The sequence below is a fragment of the Homo sapiens genome, chromosome 11 (assembly GCF_000001405.40).
Source record: "Homo sapiens chromosome 11, GRCh38.p14 Primary Assembly".
Lineage (NCBI taxonomy): Eukaryota > Metazoa > Chordata > Mammalia > Primates > Hominidae > Homo > Homo sapiens.
In genome coordinates this window covers 1,862,543-1,882,978 of record NC_000011.10, presented here as the reverse complement: position 1 = coordinate 1,882,978, position 20,436 = coordinate 1,862,543, and the positions used below count along the sequence as shown (strand labels likewise).

The following is a 20,436-nucleotide window of genomic DNA, read 5'->3' as shown; positions in this document are numbered from 1 at the left end:
GGGTCATTTGGAGGGCTAGGCAGGGGTAGGGGCCAGGTCACTGAGGAGCAGGGCCAAGGGGCTGCCGGCTGCGGGGGAGGGGAGGCCAGCCAGCTGGCAGCTTTGAGCGGCTCTGCATTTGAGCAGGACTGAACCTGGAGGAGAAGATGGGAAATTCTCGAATTTTCCATGATTTCAGGCCCCTGGGTGTGCGTGCCAGCCAAGACCCAGACCCACCCGCCCAAGGTGGGCAGGGGTCTGAGCCAGCAGCAGCCACACAGAGGGGCCATTCAGGAGCAGGTCTGTGCAGCCAGGCAGGTGCAGGGGGTGGGGTGGCGGCCGCAGAGCTGGGCTCCACGGAAGAGTCAAAGCGCCCCCTGCTGGTGGGAGCAGCCTCGCCCGCCTAGGCCTGAGGCCAAGGGAGAAGGGAGCTGCCCCATCTCAGAAAAGCAGAGCCGCTGACTCCCAAGCACGTAGGGGGGAGACTGAGGCCCAGGGAGGGGGGCGGTGGGCACTGCGCCAGGCCAGGACCAGTGGTTCTTGGGGAGTGGGAGCCTGGTTGTAGGAGGACAAGGGAGCGTCGCTCAGCAACACTGGTCCCTAGAGCTCCAGGCTGGTTTAGGGCCTCAGAGGGGCCAGGAAGGACCCTGACCAGGGAGAACTGTCAGCCCAGCCATGGGCTCTGGTCCCACTCAAGGCAAGGGGGTCCTGAGCAGGGCTGGGGTCCCAGATGGCCCAGGCCCTGCAGGGCGGGTGGGGTCAGCCCCATCATGGCCACAGATGACTGAGAGCGGCAAGGACCCCGAGCAGGGGTAGTGAAGTGGGGCTCGGGAGCAGCCCCTGTTGGGCCTGTTGGGGTTGAGACAGGCACACACATCCCCACATCTGGAAAGTGCGTCCTCCCGGCCGACTCTCCGGCATGCACATCTGGAAATACCTGCTCCCCTCCGTGGGAATGGAGATCAGCCAGCCCCGAGGGAGGAAGGGGCGGCGGCGGGCTCTCAGCCTCCATTACGGAAGCGGCCGCAGCTGTGTGCTGATGTGGCAGCACCCGGCCTGGCCTCGCAGCTGCCTGGATGGGGCCCAGGGGCCCTGGGGAGCCCCAGAATGAGGTTTCCTCGCGGCCCCTCGCCGGCCACCATGCTGTCTCGCCCTCTTCCTCCCTCCCCTCCTGTCTCCCCCTTTCCTGGCCATGGGGGCATTTCAGGCTCTGCTTGGAAAGGGGAGGATGGGGTGGCTGCTCAGGCGCAGGTTGAGGGCCTGAAGGGAGCTCCGCGGTGCCCTGCTCTGCCCAGCGCCCGCCCTCGAGGTCCAGAGGGAGCCCTGCTCTGCCCAGCGCCCGCCCTCGAGGTCCAGAGGGAGCCCTGCTCTGCCCAGCGCCCGCCCTCGAGGCCCTCACTCACCTGTCCTCTTGCTCCCCCTCAGGACTCCTGCACTGGGGGGGCTCTCCGCTGTCCAAGGCGCCCTGCGCCCCCTCGTGCTGCTGCCGCTGCTCTGGCCTCTGGGACCAGTCGCCAAAGCCCTCGTCCTCATCCAGTTCAGGGGCCTCCGAGGGCTTCAGGCTGAGGCTGAGGGTAGCAGGGGGGAGCTTAGGCCTGGGCGGCTGCTGCCTCCTCTGCCCAGGGCCCACACTCACCTCACGGCGCCCGCTCAGGCCCTGGACTCCAAGTGTGGGAGACCCTGTCTGCCACAGAGCTGGCTCTGGGCTGTGTCTCCTGTGGTCAGAATACCTGAGGGCAGGGCTATGCCTCCCCCGTCAGTTCTGGGGCAGCCTGAGAACTGTGCTTCCTCCATCAGTCCAGGACTCCTTGAGGCTCAGCAGGGCTATGCCTCCTCCATCAGCCTGGGGCTACCTGAGGGCAGGGCTATGCCTCCCTCATCAGTTTGGGGCTCCCTGAGGGTAAGGCTGTGCCTCTTCGATCAGTGTAGGGCTCCCTGAGGACAGGGCTGTGCCTCCCCTGTCAGCCTGTGGCTCCCTAAGAGCAGGGCTGTGCCTCCCCCATCACTCTGGGACTCGCTAGGGCAGGGCTGGGCCTCCCCCGTCAGCCTGTGGCTCCCTAACAGCAGGGCTGTGCTTCCCCCATCAGTCTGGGGCTCCCTAGGGCAGGGCTGTGCCTCCCCCATCATCCTGGGGCTCCCCAAGGGCTGCCCTGGTCCCCACATGAGGACCCTACATGAGGTCCTCCTAAGCCCCGACTTCTCAGGCCTCCCATGTGGCAGGGGGAGCCCCTGGATAGCTGGGGCCCTTGGTGGGGGTGGCCAAGGGCCTGACTATGGTGACCGCTGAACCCCACTCTGCCCAAGGCTGCTGACTTGGAGAAAATGGAACAAAAGAGGCCAGAAGGAAGGGAAGCATTATTGGAAAAACAGCCCAGCCCAGCCGCGGAGGCCTCCTGGGCCCAAGGAGGAAGCAAGCCAGCCTGGCCGCCAAGTTGGACGTGGCTCTGTGAGTCACTGGCGGGGGAGTCTGGTGGGGGGCTCGGCCAGGCTGCGTGGCTGGGGTCAGAGGCGGTCCGAGCAAGGGCCAGGGCACGGACACAGAGCCTGGGTCAGCGCCCAGGAGGCAGCCAGGTATTGGCAGACCCTCCTCTAGGGCTGTGGCCACCCTCGCCCCAGGAGCACTCACCCACTCCCACGCCTGCTCCTGGGGGCCCTTCCTCGCTCTCATCCTGCACTGGAACCCCCAAGCCCAGGCCCTTGACCTCCCCCTCTGCCCAGGCCCCAGGGTACACGGATAGGGGCTAGAGCCCAGGCACGCGTTATGGGGCTGCTCACAGCATCTCCTGCTTCGGCCGCTCGGGGACATGGCCGCCTCCCTCCTCGTCCTGGGCCTGAAGCTGCCTGTCTCTCTCATGCTGGCATTGCTCGTGGACGGCCTCCTCCTCGTCCTCCACGCTCCACTGAGCAGTGGGCCTAGTGGGGGACACAGAGGGACAGTCACGCCACAGCCGACACAGGTGCTGTTTTGCACCCATTCCTCCCATCTACACAGGCCTTGCTGGGGCCACACGGTGCAGGCAGCCCTGTCCACGAGGTCAGTCCCAGGCCGGCCCTCAGGCCTCACCTTGTCCATCTTTAAATAGAGGCTGCCCACGTGGTCATGAGGTGCCCTCTGGCCCAGGCGAGGGTCCTGGGGCCCTGTGAGGATCTGGGCACCCCTGTGCCCTGTGGGGATGAAGGTGGGACTCCAAGGCCCATTCAAGCCTGAAGAAACTCAAGGACAGGACAAAAGGCCCTCTGTCCCCCTCTCCCAGCCTGCCTCCCTCCCTAAGTAGAACCAGGACCTAGACCCAGGTGACCCTGGAGGGCCCAGGAAGAAGATACTGGAGTCCAGGGAGACTGGCCGCAGCCCACCGCCAGGCGGCACCTCCACCCCACCTGCGGGTGCTCCCTCCTGCACCCCAAAGGCAGGGCGTGTTGGAGAAAGGGGAGGTCGAAGGCTGAGGAAAGGAGGGCCTGAGCACGTCCAGGCAGGACACCTCCTGTCCCACCACCAGCCCCGCTCACAGAAGCTCCGCAGACTCATGGGTCCTGCCTGGGCCTAACCCCATAGCTGGGGGCACCTTACAGGGTCGGCTCACCCAACCCCACCCCATCCTTATTTCAGAGCCCTCTGCGGAGTCTCTCTGAGCTGTTTCTTTTGTTTGTTTGTTTGAGACGGAGTTTCACTCTTGTTGCCCAGGCTGGAGTGCAATGGTGTGATCTGGGCTCACCACAACCTCCGCCTCCTGGGTTCAAGCGATTCTCCTGCCTCAGCCTCCTGAGTAGCTGGGATTACAGGCATGCACCACCATACCCGGCTAATTTTGTATTTTTTAGTAGAGACAGGGTTTCTCCATGTTGGTCAGGCTGGTCCTGAACTCCCGACCTCAGGTGATCCGCCCGCCTCAGCCTCCCAAGGTGGTGGGATTACAGGGATGAGCCACCGCACCCAGCCGATTGAGCCATTTCAAAAATGGGGAAACTGAGGTAAGGGAGTGCTTCTGCCCTCAGAGCCTGAAACCATGGCTTCTTGGGGTCCCACGCGCCCCCCTCAGGGACAGAGGTAGGCACAGGCTGGCCTGGACCTGGGCATCAGAGCCCCGGCCCAGCAGCTCTCAGATGGTCCAGGTCCTGCAGACACCGCAGCCTCAGCTGTCATGGCCCTGCCTCCCATCGCCCTCCTAGAGCCTGAGAGGGGGTCCAGGGTCTCTACACTCCTACAGGGCTTATTATCCCAGACCCAGGGAGGGAGCCCAGGCCAGAACAGGGAGCAGGGCTGGGGTCTCCCCACTGGGGTCTCAGTTCTTCCCGGCCAGTGGCCGCTGCCTGACCCTGCAGCCTGATCCCCACTGGGCCCCAGTCCCCTGGCCAGACAGCCCTGCCAGCGCGTGATCTAATCTCTCCTAGGTCTCCCCTAAGCCTCTCAGACAAAAGCCAGGCCCTTCCACAGGCCCGAGTTCAAGGCCCACTCCCCCCACCGAAGCCACAGGGGACTCCAGCCACGCAAACCCAGCCGCCTGTGCACCCCGCCCCCCGCGCCCCCGAATCCGCCTGCCTGTCCTGCTCCTCAGAAGTGCCTTCAACTCCCGGCCCCCGAGGAAGCCACTTAATTCCCCACACCTGGCTCCCATCATCCGGGCAGATGAGGCCCAGCTTCCCGCTTCTGCCGGCCTCCGCATGGCTGGGGGCTGCTGGGCCTTGTTCCACCTGAGGAGGCAGAGCCTGGGGCGCAGGGGCCCTCGTGCTCACTCACGCCCCAGCCCCTCCACACAGAGGGCGGCGCAGGCTGGGGCAGAGTGTTGAGGAGGTGGAGGGGTTCCATGGAGGGGAAGCCTGGCCATATTGCTCCCCGTGTTCCCATGTCCCAGCCCCTCCATGTGAGCAAGGGCTTAGCTGGGGTGTGTGTCCCTGGGCCTGGGGCATGAGAGGGAGCCCATGCTCCTCCTTGGACCTGGGCTTCCGATGGGTCCAGGGCCCTCACTCCAGCTCCACAGACCCCCTCCACCAAGCCATAGGGGAGGCGGGGCTTGGAAGTACACATTGGCGCAGAGACCCCAGAAGCTCGTGTGCACACGTTTCCTCAGGTCCACCCCTATGGGCAAGCAGTCCGGGCCCCAACAGCCCCACAAAGGCCCTCACTCTGCTCACAGCTCATGCCCAACACATGGAGTGCGGCCGGGCGCAGGACTCCCTAGGCCTGGGGCACACGCAGGTGCACACCCAACTCACACACGTTCTCCACGAGCCCACGCTCCAGCCACACAGGCATACATGCCCGCACCCCATGCACATACAAGTATGCACGTGCTCACACACGGGAACCTTTGACATCCACGTGCGTGTGCAGACAGGCTTGGGAACAAGGGGACCACGTCCCCCTCCAGGGATCCCTTCAGGGTGCCGCAGCCTCACTTTAGTGAGGCAAACGTTGACTGTTTGCCTTGCCATTGCCCCGACAACGGCGGTGCCGGCCCTGGCACGAGGCCCAGGTGTGTACTCTGGGAACATCGTCCCTGCAGAGCTGGGCCCCTGGAGGATCACTCCGACTGAGCTCTCCCTGGCTAGGGGCCTGGGGGACAGAGTAGGGGATGCAGAGTAAGCATCTCCTGGTGTCTCCCCTAAAACCCAGTGCTGGGGAGAAGCCCGGCCAGCCCCTGGCCTCTGACCCAGCAGCCTGAGGACGTGGAGGCCTCTGGGCCCCTTCTACGTCTCCTCCCTTTCCCCTACCCCAGGATATGAGTCATGCGGGCCCCCTCCCCATGACCTCACCCCCTCACTATTCCACAGCTGGGCTCCGTTCTGGGAACTGAAAGGGGGGCAGCTCTCCTGGGGTGGGGTGGGGGCCTCTGGCCTGGGAAAGGCGCCCCCCGGCCAGCGGCCCAGGCCCCTTGGCATGCACCACGGAGCTGTCAGGACTCTGGGATGGCCGACCCCGCCCGTGGCCCTGGCTCAGCCCCGTGCAGCTGCGAGGGATTTGGTGTTCCTGCACAAATGCAATTAGGCGATTTCCTGTGTCTGTTCTGGCTCCGAAGCCCAAGGTTCAGCCCAAGGGGCCAGGCGGTGGGGGGGCTCCATCCACCTCCCACCCCAGCACACCCCCGCACCCTCACAGTCCCAGGCTCCACTTCGGGGCCTGGCCCCCAGCCAGGGACACCAGTATGCACAGAACTCTGACGGATGCCTCGTTCGGAGTGGAGCTCCCCAAGCTCAGGTCTGTTCCTGCCGGCCTCATCCACTGCCAAGCACCCCCCGACTCGGGACGCTGGCCCTTCTTCTCCTTCCTCCACAAACCCCCACCCCCACTTCTACCTCCCAGTCCCCGCTGAGGGCCTGACAATGCCCATCCTCGGCCCAGCACTCCCAGCTACCCACCTCCGTCCTCCCCCTGCAGACACTTGCAGAATGGGTGTCCGGCTCGGTCCCCGTCCCGACTCTGCCCCCTGCAGGCAGCTCCTGTGGCTGCCCCACCCGGCTGTCCTGAGCCCAGAGGGCGGCTGGAGAGGGTCCGTCCTCTCTGGGGTCCTGGGGAGTGAGGAGGCTCTGGTGAAGAGCAAGGGCTGCGGGGAGGATGTCGAGGGGAGGGGGAGCTTCTCCTCCAGGCCTGACCACAGGTCCCTTGGACACCACAGGGAGCTGGCAGGAGGCCTGGGGAGCTGGGCTGGGCCTTCCACCAGGGTGGTTCGGGGCTCCCTGCACAGCACTGAGGTCTCTGGTCCCCTCATGAGCCCAGCCTCCCCTGGGGTCCTAGACTTGACCCCTCAAGTCACTGCAGAGCCCAAGAGTGGAGAGACACAGCACCGTGTGCCGGGAAAAGGTGCCCACAGGGGCCCTCCGTGGCTGAGGCTTCCAGAGGGTAGTGGGACAGCAACCCCGCTCCCCGCCAGCCGCCCACCACAGCGTTCATGATACAGCTTCGGAGTGTGTGTCGGGGCCTATCTGGGAAGCCAGGGCAAAGGCGGTGGCAGCTGGCAGCACCCACACCCACAGCTGGGGCACTGCTCACATGAGCCCCCATCAGCAGGCCCCTTGGTTGTGCCACACGCAGGGGTCCTGCCCCAGGGAGGGGGCAGTCCAGGGAGGGGCTCGAGGGTGTGGCACAGGCCAGCTGTCACTCCTCCCTGGAGAGGCAGCTGGGGACGCAGCTGGGAGGGGAGCCAGGAGCAGAGACAGCCCGGGGCCAGCAGGTGGGTGACAGGTGGGGCAGCGGGAGGGGCATGCGCCGTCCGCCTGGGGCTCGGGCGTAGAGACGGGAACCTGCCCCCCAACGCCTGGTGCTGGCCCAGCCTCCCCCCCGGGGCCTCTAGCACCTTCCCGGTTGTGGCTGCACCCTGCTGGGCATGGCAGGGGAGGGTGGGGGTCAACCCCTTTCCTTGTAGTCCCACGCCAGTGGGCAAGGGAGACGCCGCAGTGAGCAGGACCCTAGCCTCTCTGCCTGGGGAGGCCGAGTGATGAGCCGCCCGGAGCAGGAGGAGGCCTTGAACTTGGGTCTGAAAGATGAGCAGGGATTTGCTGGACTGGGTGCAGGCAAGAGCTAATGCAGGAAGGCAGAGAGCAGGATTGCTCAGAGGGAGTGGCTCTGTGCAGCTGGAGCCGGATGGGTGACCCTCACTCAGGAGGAAGCACTGGGACCCTCTCTGCACGCGCTGGGTCCCCCGCCTCCTGTTAGGATCCCCACACCCAGGTCCTTCTGGGCCTCTGCTGCACAGATCAGGTCTGGAAGGCTCCCTGGAGGAGGCAGCGCCTGGACTTGGACATCGGCCTGCAGAGCTGGCTTCCCTCACAACCCTGGGAAGACAGAACTCCTCAGCGGGTTGATGGGGGGGAGGGCGGAGCCTCCCTCCACGGCACCAGCCCAGTGCTGGGGGCGACACAGACAGCCAGAAGCTGGCAGGGGCCGGAGGCTCTGCCCCCCATGGGCTTTACATGCCGAAGCCCCCATGGCCGAGCTGGGACCCAGGGTCAGCCCAGGGAGGCCGCGAGAAAGGAGACTGTGGGCCCCACCCCATCACACAGGGAGGAGGTGCTGTGCCCGCTGTGGGGGGCAGCTGCCCCTCTCTGGGCCCTTTGGGTGGGAAGAGGCTTGGTGAGGTAGAAAGCCCAGCCCCAGCCGGCAGTGTTGCCTTCTCACAGTGGCAGCCCTTTGTAACCAAGGGGGGCCCTGCCGGGCCTCTCCTTGTTTCCTCACCATGGGGCAGCATTTGGGGACCTCTTGAGGGACCCCCTAGGTGCTTCTACTCAGAGCCCCCAAAGCCAAGGAGCCTCCACTCCTCCGTCTGCAGCCTCCCCTGCCGGTTCTCACTACCCAGGGTTCAGTGGCCTGGGGGCTGCCGGAGGGAGTCGCCTCTGCCAAGGCCCCTCCCGGCGCCTCCCTGGCTCATCCAGCCCACCTCCCTCCCACGCTGGCTCAGGCAAAGTGCTCTGGTCACCAGGAGCCCTTTCTGACCAGCCCCGGCCCCTTCTTGGCCTTCGCCCCACCTGGCCTCCCCTGGAGCCCTGGCCTGGGTGCCGGGCCTGCTGGGTCCAGAGCCCACCCCACCCTGAACAGCCCTGAGTCTCAGCCACCCTCTGTTCTCACCCATTTCACAGCTGGGGAGTGAAGACTGGGCCTGAGGTCTCGCTCCCGGGAAGGGGTGTCGGGAGACCAGATCCTCACCCCGACACTGCCCCCACTGTCCCCAGCCTGCCCCCACTGTCCCCGGCCTGCCCTCACTGTCCCCAACACTGCCCCCCCGTCCCCGGCCTGCCCCCACTGTCCCCAGCCTGCCCCCACTGTCCCCGGCCTGCCCTCACTGTCCCCAACACTGCCCCCACTGTCCCCAGCCTGCCCCCACTGTCCCCGACACTGCTCCCACTGTCCCCGGCCTGCCCCCACTGTCCCCGGCCTGCCCCCACTGTCCCCAGCCTCCCTCCTCTGCCGGCCTCCCTGCTCTGCCGGCCTCCCTCCTCTGCCGGCCTCCCTGCTCTGCCAGCCTCCCTCCTCTGCCGGCCTCCCTCCTCTGCCGGCCTCCCTGCTCTGCCAGCCTCCCTCCTCCGCCGGCCTCCCTCCTCCGCCGGGCTCCCTGCTCTGCCGGCCTCCCTCCTCTGCCGGCCTCCCTCCTCCGCCGGCCTCCCTCCTCTGCCGGGCTCCCTGCTCTGCCAGCCTCCCTCCTCTGCCAGCCTCCCTCCTCTGCCGGCCTCCCTCCTCTGCCGGCCTCCCTCCTCTGCTGGGCTCCCTGCTCTTCTGGTTGCCACCCTGATGGCTACTTCCTGCCCCACAACCACCAGACTAGCCCAGACTTGGTTCCAGCTTTTTCTTCTCAGCCTGCCTGGGATGGCCCAGGGCATGATTCTTCCATAGCCATAGCCTCGGTCCAGTTCCTCCCTCCTCCCTCCTCCTTCCATTCTTCTCCTTCTCCTTCCCTCCTTCCCTTCCTCCCTTCTCCATCCTCCCTTCTTCCTCCCTCTTCCTTCTTCCCTCCTCCCTCTATCCTTCCCTCCTTTCCTCCCCTCCTTCCTCCCTCCCTCCCTCCCTCCCTCCATCTTTCCTTAGCCAGCAGTTTATTTTGTCAGGTGCTAGGGACCCAAAGACGGAGGAGTGAGATCTCCTCCCTGCCCTTACAAATCTTAGCAGTTGCCAAGAAACCAGCGCTGACCCATGATGTGGATCAAGAAGCACAGAGGGGAGCTGGCAGGAAGTCTCTCAAAGGAGGGGCTCCTGTGCCTGCTCTGAGCCTCGGGGTCGCCGCAGTGGGCAGGGTCCTGGCAGGGAGGAAGGGGTGCAGTGGCCGTGCGTATGCCTAGCGGTCCCCAGGGAGGCACAGCCAAGGGGAGACAGAGCCGCCCCCCACCCGCACAGCCCTCCCCTCTCCCCATCCTCCCTGTATCCCAGATGCCAGCCCTCAACTCTTGATGACCTGAGGCTTGTCTCTGCCCCCTGCCTCCACCTCTCCCTGCCTCCATCTCTCCCTGCCTCCACCTCTGGGGAGAGGTGCACAGGGAGGGGTCTGTTCCTCTGGGTTCCTTACCCACCCAATCCGAACCTGCTTCCCCCTATACCCCCACCCCCCACCGCTGGGACTGCTGTCCAACTTGGGATGGGATAGGGTCGCCTCCTCCATTGCTGAAGCCCCCTGAGCTTCATGACCCACCCAGTGCTGCATGAGGGCCCTGAGCTCCTGCATCAACTTCGCCCCAGAGTGGTGATGCCAGGACTAGTCTGAGTGCGGGCCGGGGTGACTGCAGCCCAGGCATGCCCGCCACACACACCCCGTCCCAAAGGTGCCCACGCCAGCCGGACAGACCCCAACTCTACCAGCGCAGGCCAGGGTGACTACAGCCCAGGTCTGCCCGCCACACACACCCCCTCCCAAAGGTGCCCACGCCAGCCAGACAGACCCCAACTCTACCAGCGTGCACCGGGGTGACTGCAGCCCAGGCCTGCCTGCCACACACACCCCCTCCCAAAAGTGCCCACGCCAGCCAGACAGACCCCAACTCTACCAGCGTGCACCAGGGTGACTACAGCCCAGGCCTGCCCACCACACACACCCCATCCCAAAGGTGCCCACGCCAGCGGACAGACCCCAACTCTACCAGCACGCACCAGGATGACTGCAGCCCAGGCCTGCCCGCCACACACACCCCGTCCCAAAGGTGCCCACGCCAGCCAGACAGACCCCAACTCTACCAGCATGGGCTGGGGTGACTACAGCCCAGGCCTGCCCACCACAGAGACCCCGTCCCAAAGGTGCCCACGCCAGCCGGACAGACCCCAACTCTACCAGCGTGTGCCAGGGTGACTACAGCCCAGGCCTGCCCACCACACACACCCCGTCCCAAAGGTGCCCACGCCAGCCGGACAGACCCCAACTCTACCAGCATGCACCAGGGTGACTGCAGCCCAGGCCTGCCCGCCACACACACCCCCTCCCAAAAGTGCCCACGCCAGCCAGACAGACCCCAACTCTACCAGCGTGCACCAGGGTGACTATAGCCCAGGCCTGCCTGCCACACACACCCCGTCCCAAAGGTGCCAACACCAGCCAGACAGACCCCAACTCTACCAGCGTGCGCCAGGGTGACTACAGCCCAGGCCTGCCCGCCACACACCCCCCCTCCCAAAAGTGCCCACGCCAGCCAGACAGACCCCAACTCTACCAGCGTGCGCCAGGGTGACTACAGCCCAGGCCTGCCTGCCACACACACCCCGTCCCAAAAGTGCCCACGCCAGCCGGACAGACCCCAACTCTACCAGCACGGGCTGGGGTGACTACAGCCCAGGCCTGCCCGCCACACACACCCCCCTCCCAAAGGTGCCCACGCCAGCCGGACAGACCCCCAAGTCTACCCAGACACCCAACAGGAGGGGTGCCCGTGCAGCGGCAGACAGCGCTGACCAAAGGGCATCTATGACCCTGGAAACCTCATGGTGTGGCCTCCGCAGAGCCGCAAGCCTTGGCCCCCTGCTGAGACTGGAAAATGGAGCCTGGTTTCCCCCAACCCCTCTACCCCTGGCTTCCCATTGGTCCTCAGAGGCTGGGTCAGGGACCGTCCTCAGAGCAGGGTCCAGAACCGGCTTGATGTCCTGCTGACCAGCCCATCACCTCCCTTGCGCTGGGTGCCCTACCTCTTTTGATGTGCTCTGTGGTCAGCCCTGTGCCGGCAGCACCCTTGTCCCGCTCTGCAGCTGTTTCACATCTCTGCCCCCATCTGCGGCGACCAGCCTGGGTCGGAGGTTAGGGCCCCGCCCTGCTCGTGGGTGGCCCTGCCTGCTGCATCCCGGCGGCGTGGCTGCGGCTCTGCCTGCCCCGTGCCTGCTCTTTCTTCCCCCCTCCTCCTGTTCTGCGTGCTGTGCATATGGCTTTCTGTCTTCCTCCGTGTCACTAACCACAACGCTGCCGAGCCCGTGCCACGAGCGAGGCGACCTGCGGGACCTTTCTGGGGCCCTCGCCTGCACTCCGCGATCAGCGTCCTCCGCCGCAGCTCTCACCCTCGCATGCGTCTACATGCAGCCCCACTCGGTGCCTGCTTCCCGCAGGAGGGGACCAAGGAGCCCTGATACCTACAGGTCCACCGACAGCCCGGCTGCGCCTCCCGCCTTTGCTCGACGGCCCTCGGGAGCGCTGCGGCGCCTGGGCCAGCTGGGACTGCCCTGGCAGAGCTCTTGCCGTGCTCACGAGGCAGGCTTTTGGCACGTTCTGGGACACGCAACCAGTCCCTGGCAACGGCTCGAGGCTCTGCCATCCTCTTTCCTTCCCAGCTAGCCATGCCCAGATGTACCTCACATCCCTGAAGTCTCTGCCCACAGATGCTGCCCGAAGCGCTCCCATCCTCCACGCAACCAGAGGCTTCATACATTATTCAGACGTGGTGCCCACCTGGGCGGGAGCCACAGCCGGCACCCAGAGAGAAGGACCAAGCCAGCCTGGCATTCAACCACCTGCTCCACTCCCACAGCACCGGGATCTTCCTACCGTAGCACCCAGCAGCCAGGCCCTCTTCCTGACACCCCCACACCATGTCTGCCTGTGGAGCTCTGGGGTGCCCGGCCTGGCCACCGGCCCCTCCCCGAAGCTTTCATGGCTGACCAGCCCCTCCCAGACTCATCATCCCTGGGGGTGCAGGGAAGACATGGCAGAGCAGAAAAGAGTCTGCCCCTGGGCCGGCACTTCTTTCCCAGGAGACTCCCCGGTGTATGTCCCCGGGTGCTGCGGGCACCCCCTGCCAAGCCCCAGGATGGGAGTAAGCTTTGGTGCCTCCCTGAGCCTCAGCTTTCCTGTTTGCAAAATGGGGTATGAAGGACCAGCTTCAGTGGGCCGTGGGAGACTCACATGGCCTTGGGATGTCCTCATGGCTGAGGTCAAGTGGACCGGCCTTGGTCCTCTGCACCAGAGGTCCAGACATCCCCGTTTAAAGAGGCACAGTGAGCACCAGTGCAGCCAGCGCCTCCGTCCTCACAATGGTCGCCAGGGGCGCAGTCCTATCATCCCCATTACAGATGCACAAACGGAGGCTCGGAGGTGCACCTCTCACGTCTCACGCAGGGGTCCCAGGGAGCTGATGACGTGGCTGGGGCTCCAACCCCTCAACCCCCAAGAACCGGGTGTGGGGAAGACCAGGCAGGGACAGAGGCCAGAAGAGGTGCTGCTCCTGAATGTGAGTGGAGGGTCCTGACCCAGGGGGTCCCAGTCCGGGTGCAGAAATTCATTTCTCAGTCTCGGGGAAAACCAGCCCCCCCCACGCCCCCTCCTCTGTGGGGCGCCCCATTTTCCTCGCCCGCCCTCTCCTTGGCAAGCTCGCCAGCCCTCGCCTGGCCTCACTGCGTTCCTCCAGCATCCATTTCTCGCTTCTTTGATCTTCCTCCTACCGCCCGTCTTTGGAGCACCAAGAAGCTGTGTGAGACAGCGGCTCTGAGCCTTCTGCCCCGGCACCTGCTAGGTGCGGCCCACGTGGGAGAGACCCCTCCTCCCACACCTGGGGTCGGCGGCAAGGGGCAGTGCCCGGGACCCTCACACAGCTTCCATTCGCACCTCAGCCCCTCCCTCTGCCCTTCCCATCCTGCCACCACCCTGCACCCGCTTCTGCTCCCCCTCCCTCCTCCTTCAAGGCAGCCCCTGCTCTCCCTCCCTCTCAGCATTTTTCCCTCCCTTTCTCTCATTTCTTTCTCGTGCCTTCGCTTTCTTTCTTTCTTTTCTCTGTCACTTCTCCCCAGGTAGGGTTTGTTCTCGTCAAGAGACCCTCACAGCCCCAGGCACAGGGTTGCCCCCCTCCCAGCATCCCTGGCCAGGCCCGGCCCTCAATCTCACCTCCGCAAGCACCACCTCAGCTCGCACCAATACCTCCCCAACCCGTCATGGGTAGCAGCCGACCCTCAAGCCTCCCGGGTCTCAGCCCACTTGGAGCCTGGGGCAGGGGCCAAGCCCCTCACCCTTCTCCCTAATGGTCCCCGCCCCATCCAGGGGTCACCCAAGGGCTTCTCTCCCACAAGCTCCCACTTGCAGTGGCTCCTGTCTGCCCTCCAGAGACCTCTGTGGTTAACCCCAGTCCACCGACCTCTGCCAAGCCGCTCTGAGCCGGATGCTCAGTCCCCGGGGCCATGCTCCCTCTGGCCTCAGGGTGCCTCCCCTTTACGGTTCCAGCAGGGGCATCTGGGGGTCGAGTGCCCAGGGCACCCTGGCTGCCGCTTGCTGGCCGCTCTGCCCAGCTCTGGTTCGCCGGCTGGGACTGAAGCCTGAACCGCCGTCCTCTGGGCTCTGGCCCTGACACCCTGCCCAGGGGGCTGGGCCACTCGGTCCCTGCACCCCTGCTGCTGGCTCGCCTGGGCTTCTGGGCAGGACGGGCTCTGTCCGAAGACCGACTTCCAGCCCTGCCAGGGCGGGGGCTACCCCACCCTCAGGATCTCAGGCCTGGATGGGCCCAAGGCAGCCACACCCTTTTGGACACTGTGGTTGGAGGCCTGGCTTCCCCCAGCCCCCTCAGGGCCAGCCCAGCAGGCTGCCAGCCCATTCCTGCCCCACTGGCCACATCAGGAGCCCCAGAGGTCCCTGGACCAGGCTGCTCAGGGTGGGTCCCTGCCTGAGGGGCCTTAGAGCCCTGCGGAGAGCCAAGCACGGTGTGGCTGCCACATCTGTATATGTGTGGGCAGATGTGTGCCCGAGATGGAGGGAATGGAGGGGCTCACACCGCCCAAAGAGCCATGGCTAAGGGTGGGCACGGGGCTCCGGGGACCTCAATGCTTGATAAGAACGTCTGCCAGGCTGATCCCCAGCCCCCCTCTTCACTCCGGGCCAGGCTACAAGGCACTCTCAGCCGGCCTGGTGCCCTCTCACAAAGCCAGGACCCCACAGGTAGCAGGGCCAGGCCGCTGGCTGAGTCCGGGTGACGTCTGGAGTTGAGTGGGCTGAAGTCCTCTTGAGGTCCCCTGACCATCCCTAACACTTGCCTTGCCCGAGCTGGCCCTGGGAGAGCCCCGAGTTGCCCAGGGGCAGGCAGGAGGCACAGGGCAGACTCCCAGGTGCCTGGAAGGGCAGACTTGGCAGGGAGGCATTGGGGGTAGGTCAGCCCAGGGCCTGACCCTGCCAGCCAGAAGCCGCATTCTGGCAGGGGCTGGGTACAGCCAGACCTGGAGAAAATGGTGTTATGGGACTACATGCAGAGCCCCTGGGCTTGCACTGGGTGTAGACAAGGAGAATCGCTGGGGCAGGGGTGGGGGGCGACGGGGCAGGGGGGACACGTTTTCCCACTGGCCCAGAGCACCATTTTTAATGGATGTAAACTGCATTGAATTTATTCCCTGGCAGCTGCGGGCACCTAGCATGGCCCTTCAGGGTTCATCACTGAGGACACAGCACTTTGCCTGCAATGCCTCTCCCAGCCCTGCACCTGACATGGCAGGACACCCAAGGGGTCCCCGGGAAAGGGGTGGGGTGATGCGGGTGGAGGAGGGACCCAGGGACCCGGGCTCATCATGCCCGGCTGAGTGGCCTTGAAGTCTCTTCACCCACAGCTTCTCTGAGCCTGGCTCACTCCTTTATCCAACAGGGAGTGGGTAGGGGGCAGTCTGCCTGGCCTGCAGGGCTGGGACTGGGGAAGTCCGAGCTGTTGGAGGCTGCAGAGAAGAGATCATGGCAGTGGTGGTGAGCGCAGTACTGTCCCGGGTGGTCGTGTGTGTGTGCATGTGTGTGTGTGGGTGTGGTGGGTGGGTGGGGTGCAGCGGCCTCTGGGTCTGTGTCCTGGAGGGGGTGTGTATTAGTGCACACGTGTCAGCCTTGCTTCATGTAGCTCACCTTGGTGGCTCCCCTTAGCTGGACAAGGGACTCTTGCTGCCCTCTGCCCAGCCCCCATCAGGACAAGTTCCAAGGGAGTTCAAAGGGACGGGTCCTTATGCCACCAACCCACTGGCTGACCACCGCAAGTGAGGTCCCCTCCTCACTGTCTCCTCCCCAGGTCCACAGGGACTGGCCCCGAGCCTGAGCCCACGCGGCTTCAGTGCCTCCTCCCCAGGTCCACAGGGACTGGCCCTGAGCCTGGGCCCACGCGGCTTCAGTGTCTCCTCCCCAGGTCCACAGGGACTGGCCCCGAGCCTGGGCCCACACGGTTTCAGTGCCTCCTGAGTGCGGCTTGCTCACCTGGGGCTGCAGTTGGTGCTGGGCCCGCTGGACGGATGCTCATGGCCGAGCCCCTGGTGACAAGGGGGTGAGCCACCGCACAGCCAGGCAGGGGCTCTGCCCCTCCTCCGGGGGCTGCACTTCCTTCTCTTGGGCCCATTTGTTAAGTAGCACTGGTGAGCCTGGGGGATTGACCCCAGGCACTCCTCAAATCCCAGGCCACAGAGCTCCTGGTGGACAGCAGCGTCCCCTGGGAAAACACATTCCCGTTGGGCAGGGAGGGAGGTCTGACCAGCAGAGCCTGGAAGCCCAGGAGGAGGAGGCTTATGGGGGGCCAGGGGTAGGGGGAGGCTGGGATGAGGTGTGCCCAGCCAGGGGCCCACTGCAGATCCTGGTGCTGGTCCTGAACTCAGGTGACAGCCGGAGACCCTGCCAGGTGGGGACCAGATCGGAGCCATCTCTCTGCATCTGCACGGACCCAACAAGTGGGAGCTGGGGAGGAGGGGTGAGCCGGGCTGCCCTCAACTCCTCAGACCCCACTTAGCTCACCCCCATGGGCATCCCTGGCTCTCTGGCCTCTCAGAGTCTCAGCACTGAGTGCCTGGCCTGGGTGGGCAGTGGCAAGCCGACCGATGCCAGCCCTGCCTTCCAGTAGCTCGAGGTCCGGCCAGCATGCTCCATGCCATCAAAGGAAGTCAGAGCAGGACAGCCCTCCAGGTTAGGAAGAAGCAAGGCAGCCTTCAAGCAGGAGGTGGTGTTTCAGTTTGGCTTAAAAGCCTGGAAGGGTTGAGGAGGAGAAAGGGCACTACAGGCGGCTCAGAGTGGCTGACGGTGCAGAGGGATATCTCTGAGACTGCCCAGGCTGGGTCTTGAGGAGCCTTGGGCCCTCCAAACTCTGCTCTCCCACCTGACCCCATGAAGGGCCACACCACTACTTTACAGAGGAAGAAACAGGCTGGGAGAGGGCACCACACTGGCCCAACACCTGCAGGTGGACAAGGCCCGGGCACCTTCCCTGGCCCTGAGGAGCCTCCCACTCAGGGTTGGTGGCTGCAGCCAGGGCCGGTAAGCTCAGCCCAAAGTTCAGTTTCATGATCTGTGAAGTGAGGGTGACTGAAGGGTGCCCAGGATCCGAAGGACCCCACGGGAGGCCCCAGAAGCCACCCAGAGGATGGGCCCTTCATTTTGGGGGCTCAGAGTCAAGCAGAATCCCTGGGGCTCGGGGAGAGGTGTGAGCAGGTGACAGTGCAGCCGGCGGTGCAGGTGGGACGGCGTGAGCGGGTGACAGTGCAGTCGGTGGTGCAGGTGGGATGGTGTGAATGGGTGACAGTGCAGCCGGCGGTGCAGGTGGGACGGTGTGAGCGGGTGACAGTGCAGCCGGCGGTGCGGGTGGGACGGTGTGAGCAGGCGACAGCGCAGCCGGCAGTGCAGGTGGGATGGGGAAGGAGAATGCATGGGCAGCTGCCAGGAGCCAGGAGGAAGAGAGGCCTCAAGCAGCCTCCGCACTCACACATGTACACGCAACCAGCCTGGCACCCTCTCGCTGCCCACGCTTGGGGCAGCAGAGCCTACCGAAGCTGGGGGGAGGCCCAGTGGCCCGGTGCATGTGGCAGCCCAGCATGGGCACCCTGCCCTGCCCTCCATGCCCAGCCAGGGCAGGAGGGACCTACCTCAAGAGGTATCCAGGCCCTGTCTGCTAGAGTTCCTCCTCAGAAGCCCGGGACTGCCCAGGCTGCAGCCTCTGCTCAGGCGGCGACCTGGCCTGACCCCAGCCCCGGGGATAGAGCAGCATCTCAAAGGCTCCTGTCCTGCTGGCCCTCCTCTCTGCTGCCCTCCTCCCGCACCCCTGCCCCCCTGTGCCCAGCTCTCCTTGGCTTTCCTGCCTCTCCTGGCCCCTCTCACTCCTGCACTTCCTTGGCGCTCTGCCCTGGCCCTCGGTCTCTCGCTGGCTGTCACCCCTCCCCTGTCCCTTCTCTCTGTCTGGTGTTCTCCTTGTCCCTGTGACCCTCTGCCTGCCTGTCTTGGCCCCTCTGGCCCCTGGCACAGGAGTCTGTGGGCCGGCTCCCTTGGGCAGCCTGGTCCCTCCCTCTGGCACCTGGCACAGGGGTCTGTGGGCAGCCTGGTCCCTCCCTTCGGCTCCTGGCACGAGGGTCTGCAGGCCGGCTCCCTGCAGGCAGCCTGGTCCCTGTGTCCCCATCCCTGTGGGTCTCCCTGACTGTGGGTCTCCCTTTCCCCTCTCCTACTTCAGGACTCTCAGCAGCTGCTTCTCTTTTGTTTCCCCCAGCCCCCTTCTCCTCCCGCCTCCATCTCTTCCACCTCCACCTCCTCCTCCTTCCGAGAAGAGTAAAAATGTCAGAGCGAAAACTCTCCCAGCCCAGCAGCGTGGGGCTCAGCCAGACCTCTGTGGCGCGCTGATGGGCAGCGTGGCTGCCTCCTTCCCTCCCTCCCTCCCTTCCTCTTTCCCTTCCTCCCTCCGCCTCTGCCCTCAGGCCACCTTGGTAGCCGCTGCCCGCTTCTCGGTCTCCCCTAGCCCTCTGTGGTGCCCCTGCCCCAGGCACAGGGGCCTATTCTGCCCATCGCCGCCTCCCACCTCGGAGTGCCTCATGCCCTCTGCCAGGCCCTGCCCGGGCCCTCCTCTGTTCTTCTCCTTCGTCGGCCGTTCTTGTCCAGCCCCTCGTCAACCTGCCACCTCCCTCACCATCATCGCAGGCCTGGACCCTTCGCTGGTTCCTCTTTGTCCCGTCCCCTCCTTCCCCGTCTCGCACTCAGCCCCTCTCTCCTCTCTCCTTTCCCTCTGGTGTCTCTGTCCCTATCTCTGTCTCCCTCCCTCCTTCCCTCCTCCCTCCCTTCCCCTCCCCTCCCTTCCTCTCCCCTCCTCCCCTCTCCCCCGCTCCTGGTTCTCCACTTTCCCTTTGTTCATTCCCGGCCTCTGCTCTTGTTGTCACCTCCAGAGAAGGCTTGGCACCCCAAGAACCCTCTCTGTTCCCCAAATGGGGAGGCTGCTGCCTTTCCTGGTGGGCCCAACCCCCCAGCCAGACTGCAGAGTTGACCCAAGAGGCAGAGACGCCACCAACGCAGCATCTTCGGTTTGGTATTGGCACAGCATGGTCCCAAGAGGTGGCCAGTGGGCACAAAGTGGGCCTGGTGCCCTCGCCAGCCAGGCCCCCCTTGCCCGCGTCCTCTGGCCCTGGCCCAGGGAGGAGCAGCCCAGCCCTCTGTTCCTCTGGTTGGGCTTGGCTGCTGTGACTCACTGGAGAACACTCGGGGCTAGTGGCCGGACGGACGAGGGGTGGGATGGGACGCATGTTCAGGGCTCACCGAGGGTCAGCTCCGCGACGGCAGTCTCACATCCGGCGGTTTGCCCAGCTCGCTGGCACTCAGAACCACCATGTACCCATGTCCAGGATGGAGAAACCAAGGTCCAGCCAGCAGCACTGGCATCCAAGGTCACAGAGTGAGGGCCTGGCACAGCCAGAACCAGAGCCAGATCTGCCGGCCGCTGGCCACCCAATTAGTCCTGGGCCACCATCTGTGCACGGGCACTCATCTGCCCATGCCACCCTCTGTCCCTACATTCAAGGAGAACAGCCACCTCTTGCCTCCCCAGCTATCATGACCCTGGCCAGGCCAGGGAGTTGGGGTTGCGCAGCACCTTGGGAACACTGAGGGAAGCAAGGGTGAGGCTGTGAGCAGACGGGCAAGCGGGTGAATCACCGCGGAGGGCAGCACGCCGGGGGTGGCGGCAACAGTCGGAAAATTCCACATGGGACCATAGACCGGGCTGTGGTGACTCAGGTGGTGGGCTACCCCATGGAGACTGCGGGAGTCAGGAAGTCCGTCCCCACTCCCTACATACACACCAGACTGGGTCCCAGGGCCAGTCCTGGAGAGAGGAGCCCACAGCATCTCCCCTCCCCCGGCACAACCCAGGAGGAAGCAGGGAATGTCCACTAGAGACCATGGTGTTGGCCCCACATCCCCAGCATCCACAAAGCTGCAGAGACCACAGGATTCTGGAGTAAGCAGGAGGGATGGTAGCCAGGGCTGGACCTCAGGTTGGACAAATGTTTAGTGAGCTCACCCAGGGGAGGGGAGGTCACCCAGAGGAGGCAAGATTACCTGGGGGAGGTGAGATCACCCAGGGGAGGTGAGATCACCCAGGGGAGGCGAGATTACCTAGGGGAGGTAAGGTCACCCAGGGGAGGTGAGGTCACCCAGGGGAGGTGAGATCACCCAGGGAAAGCTAAATCACTCAGGGGAGGTGAGATTACCAGGGGTAGGGAAGATCACACAGAGAAACTGAGATCACTCAGGGAGGACAGATCACCCAGGTAAGGTGAGATTACCTGGGGTGGGGGGCAGTGAGCATGTGCTTCATTTGCACCTCAAC

General features: G+C 65.0%; 1 protein-coding gene and 1 non-coding gene across 7 annotated transcripts in view, besides 5 other annotated features; both read right to left on the bottom strand.

Annotated features, from left to right (window-relative positions):
- Nucleotides 1-20,436, bottom strand: part of LSP1 (lymphocyte specific protein 1) — a 39,180-nt gene that overhangs the window by 9,285 nt on the left and 9,459 nt on the right. Inside the window, exons 1-4 of one of the 6 annotated variants that reach the window (NM_001242932.2) lie at nt 17,717-17,814; nt 16,068-16,514; nt 2,755-2,892; nt 1,383-1,547 (exon numbers count right to left, since the gene is read on the bottom strand). In NM_001242932.2, the coding sequence (NP_001229861.1) occupies nt 1,383-1,547; nt 2,755-2,892; nt 16,068-16,504 (740 nt within the window). In that variant the 5' untranslated portion in view covers nt 16,505-16,514; nt 17,717-17,814. Of the gene's footprint in view, nt 1-1,382; nt 1,548-2,754; nt 2,893-11,566; nt 12,111-12,317; nt 12,736-13,992; nt 14,274-16,067; nt 16,515-17,716; nt 17,815-20,436 lie in introns of those variants that run through there. The other 5 variants (NM_001013253.2, NM_001289005.2, NM_001013254.1 and 2 more) reach the window with 5 other exon arrangements.
- Nucleotides 750-959: an enhancer, noted in NCBI's record as "active region_4294". NCBI's record gives its function as "activates an Ori minimal core promoter by ATAC-STARR-seq in GM12878 lymphoblastoid cells {active_cell/tissue: GM12878}" and the evidence as "EXISTENCE:reporter gene assay evidence [ECO:0000049][PMID:35858748]".
- Nucleotides 2,832-2,934, bottom strand: MIR7847 (microRNA 7847). The gene has a single exon (NR_107001.1). It is a non-coding gene; the product is annotated as a microRNA 7847 (primary transcript).
- Nucleotides 5,639-6,535: an enhancer, noted in NCBI's record as "H3K4me1 hESC enhancer chr11:1897674-1898570 (GRCh37/hg19 assembly coordinates)". NCBI's record gives its function as "activates a minimal SCP1, AML or CMV promoter by ChIP-STARR-seq in primed H9 embryonic stem cells {active_cell/tissue: H9 hESC(primed)}" and the evidence as "EXISTENCE:reporter gene assay evidence [ECO:0000049][PMID:30033119]".
- Nucleotides 6,536-7,432: an enhancer, noted in NCBI's record as "H3K4me1 hESC enhancer chr11:1896777-1897673 (GRCh37/hg19 assembly coordinates)". NCBI's record gives its function as "activates a minimal SCP1, AML or CMV promoter by ChIP-STARR-seq in primed H9 embryonic stem cells {active_cell/tissue: H9 hESC(primed)}" and the evidence as "EXISTENCE:reporter gene assay evidence [ECO:0000049][PMID:30033119]".
- Nucleotides 11,302-11,839: an enhancer, noted in NCBI's record as "H3K4me1 hESC enhancer chr11:1892370-1892907 (GRCh37/hg19 assembly coordinates)". NCBI's record gives its function as "activates a minimal SCP1, AML or CMV promoter by ChIP-STARR-seq in primed H9 embryonic stem cells {active_cell/tissue: H9 hESC(primed)}" and the evidence as "EXISTENCE:reporter gene assay evidence [ECO:0000049][PMID:30033119]".
- Nucleotides 11,840-12,378: an enhancer, noted in NCBI's record as "H3K4me1 hESC enhancer chr11:1891831-1892369 (GRCh37/hg19 assembly coordinates)". NCBI's record gives its function as "activates a minimal SCP1, AML or CMV promoter by ChIP-STARR-seq in primed H9 embryonic stem cells {active_cell/tissue: H9 hESC(primed)}" and the evidence as "EXISTENCE:reporter gene assay evidence [ECO:0000049][PMID:30033119]".